General features: G+C 38.3%; 1 annotated feature.

The window, feature by feature from the left end:
- Positions 1 to 3,681: part of a centromere (Linear centromere model derived predominantly from reads generated in PMID: 17803354. This region does not represent an actual centromere sequence, as long-range ordering of repeats and unmapped WGS contigs is not provided by the model. For details of model production, see http://arxiv.org/abs/1307.0035.) that runs on past both edges of the window.

Here is a 3,681-nt window from a genome sequence, read left to right on the forward strand (position 1 = left end):
ATTCTCAGAAACTTATTTGTGATGTGCCCCCTCAACTAACAGTGTTGAAGCTTTCTTTTGATAGAGCAGTTTTGAAACACTCTTTTTGTGGAATCTGCAAGTGGATATTTGTCTAGCTTTGAGGATTTCGTTGGAAACGGGATTACATATAAAAAGCAGACAGCAGCATTCTCAGAAACTTATTTGTGATGTGCGCCCTCAACTAACAGTGTTGAAGCTTTCTTTTGATAGAGCAGTTTTGAAACACTCTTTTTGTAATATCTGCAAGAGGATATTTGGATAGCTTTGAGGATTTCGTTGGAAACGGGATTAATTATACAAAGCAGACAGCAGCATTCTCAGAAGCTTCATTGGGATGTTTCAATTGAAGTCACAGTGTTGAACAGTTCCTTTCATAGAGCAGGTTTGAAACACTCTTTTTGTAGCATCTGGAAGTGGACATTTGGAGCGTTCTCAGCACTACGGTGCAAAAGGAAATATCTTCCAATAAAAGCTAGATAGAAGCAATATCAGAAACTTTTTCATGATGTATCTACTGAGCTAAAAGAGTTGAACCTTTCTTTTGAGAGAGCAGTTTTGAAACACTCTTTTTGTGGAATCTGCAAGTGGATATTTTTCTAGATTTGAGGATTGCGTTGGAAACGGGATTACATATAAAAAGCAGACAGCAGCATTCCCAGAATGTTCTTTGTGAAATTTGCATTCAAGTCAAAGACTTGAACATTCCCTTTCATAGAGCAGGTTTGAAACACTGTTTTTGTAGTATCTGGATGTGGACATTTGGAGCGCTTTCAGGCCTATGGTGAAAAAGGAAATATCTTCCCCTGAAAACTAGACAGAAGCATTCTCAGAAACTTATTTGTGATGTGCGCCCTCAACTAACAGTGTTGAACCTTTCTTTTGAAAGAGCAGTTTTGAAACACTCTTTTTGTAAAATCTGCAAGAGGATATTTGGATAGCTTTGAGGATTTCGTTGGAAACGGGATTGTCTTCATATAGAATCTAGACAGAAGAATTCTCAGAAGCTTCATTGGGATGTTTCAATTGAAGTCACAGTGTTGAACAGTCCCTTTCATAGAGCAGGTTTGAAACACTCTTTTTGTAGTATCTGGATGTGGACATTTGGAGCTTTTGCAGGCCTATAGTTTAAAAGGAAATATCTTCCCCTGAAAACTAGACAGAAGCATTCTCAGAAACTTATTTGTGATGTGCGCCCTCAACTAACAGAATTGAATCATCGTTTTGAAAGAGCAGTTTTGAAACACTCCTTTTGTGGAATCTGCAAGTGGATATTTGTCTAGCTTTGAGGATTTCGTTGGAAACGGGATTACATATAAAAAGCAGACAGCTAAGCATTCTCCGAAACTTATTTGTGATGGGCGCCCTCAACTAACAGTGTTGAAGCTTTCTTTTGATAGAGCAGTTTTGAAACACTCTTTTTGTAATATCTGCAAGAGGATATTTGGATAGCTTTCAGGATTTCGTTGGAAACGGGATTGTCTTCATATAAACTCTAGACATAAGCATTCTCAGAAGCTTCATTGGGATGTTTCAATTGAAGTCACAGTGTTGAACAGTCCCTTTCATAGAGCAGGTTTGAAACACTCTTTTTGTAGTATCTGGAAGTGGACATTTGGAGCGCTCTCAGGACTACGGTGAAAAAGGAAATATCTTCCAATAAAAGCTAGATAGAAGAAATGTCAGAAACTTTTTCATGATGTATCTACTCAGCTAACAGAGTTGAACCTTTCCTTTGAGAGAGCAGTTTTGAAACACTCTTTTTGTGGAATCTGTAAGTGGATATTTGTCAAGCTTTGAGGATTTCGTTGGAAACGGGATTACATATAAAAAGCAGACAGCAGCATTCCCAGAAACTTCTTTGTGATGTTTGCATTCAAGTCACAGAGTTGAACTTTCCCTTTCATAGAGCAGGTTTGAAACACTCTTTTTGTAGTATCTGGATGTGGACATTTGGAGCGCTTTCAGGCCTATGGTAAAAAAGGAAATATCTTCCCCTGAAAACTAGACAGAAGCATTCTCAGAATCTTATTTGTGATGTGCGCCCTCAACTAACAGTGTTGAAGCTTTCTTTTGATAGAGCAGTTTTGAAACACTCTTTTTGTAAAATCTGCAAGAGGATATTTGGATAGCTTTGAGGATTTCGTTGGAAACGGGATTGTCTTCATATAAACTCTAGACAGAAGCATTCTCAGAAGCTTCATTGGGATGTTTCAATTGAAGTCACAGTGTTGAACAGTCCCTTTCATAGAGCAGGTTTGAAACACTCTTTTTGTAGTATCTGGATGTGGACATTTGGAGCGCTTTCAGGCCTATGGTGAAAAAGGAAATATCTTCCCCTGAAAACTAGACAGAAGCATTCTCAGAAACTTATTTGTGATGTGCGCCCTCAACTAACAGTGTTGAAGCATTCTTTTGATAGAGCAGTTTTGAAACACTCTTTTTGTGGAATCTGCAAGTGGATATTTGTCTAGCTTTGAGGATTTCGTTGGAAACGGGATTACATATAAAAAGCAGACAGCAGCATTCTCAGAAACTTATTTGTGATGTGCGCCCTCAACTAACAGTGTTGAAGCTTTATTTTGATAGAGCAGTTTTGAAACACTCTTTTTGTAATATCTGCAAGAGAATATTTGGATAGCTTTGAGGATTTCGTTGGAAACGGGATTGTCTTCATATAAACTCTAGAAAGAAGCATTCTCAGAAGCTTCATTGGGATGTTTCAGTTGAAGTCACAGTGTTGAACAGTCCCTTTCATAGAGCAGGTTTGAAACACTCTTTTTGTAGTATCTGGAAGTGGACATTTGGAGCGCTCTCAGGACTGCGGTGAAAAAGGAAATATCTTCCAATAAAAGCTAGATAGAAGCAATGTGAGAAACTTTTTCATGATGTGTCTACTCAGCTAAAAGAGTTGAACCTTTCTTTTGAGAGAGCAGTTTTGAAAAACTCTTTTTGTGGAATCTGCAAGTGGATATTTGTCTAGCTTTGAGGATTTCGTTGGAAACGGGATTACATATAAAAAGCAGACAGCAGCATTCCCAGAAACTTCTGTGTGATGTTTGCATTCAAGTCACAGAGTTGAACATTCCCTTTCATAGAGCAGGTTTGAAACACTCTTTTTGTAGTATCTGGATGTGGACATTTGGAGCGCTTTCAGGCCTATGATGAAAAGGGAAATATCTTCCCCTGAAAACTAGACAGAAGCATTCTCAGAAACTTATTTGTGATGTGCGCCCTCAACTAACAGTGTTGAACCTTTCTTTTGATAGAGCCGTTTTGAAACACTCTTTTTGTAATATCTGCAAGAGGATATTTGGATAGCTTTGAGGATTTCGTTGGAAACAGGATTGTCTTCATATAAACTCTAGACAGAAGCATTCTCAGATGCTTCATTGGGATGTTTCAATTGAAGTCACAGTGTTGAACAGTCCCTTTCATAGAGCAGGTTTGAAACACTCTTTTTGTAGTATCTGGATGTGGACATTTGGAGCGCTTTCAGGCCTATGGTGAAAAAGGAAATATCTTCCCCTGAAAACTAGACAGAAGCATTCTCAGAAACTTATTTGTGATGTGCGCCCTCAACTAACAGTGTTGAAGCTTTCTTTTGATAGAGCAGTTTTGAAACACTCTTTTTGTGGAATCTGCAAGTGGATATTTGTCTAG

The sequence above is a fragment of the Homo sapiens genome, chromosome 2 (assembly GCF_000001405.40).
Source record: "Homo sapiens chromosome 2, GRCh38.p14 Primary Assembly".
Taxonomy (NCBI): domain Eukaryota; kingdom Metazoa; phylum Chordata; class Mammalia; order Primates; family Hominidae; genus Homo; species Homo sapiens.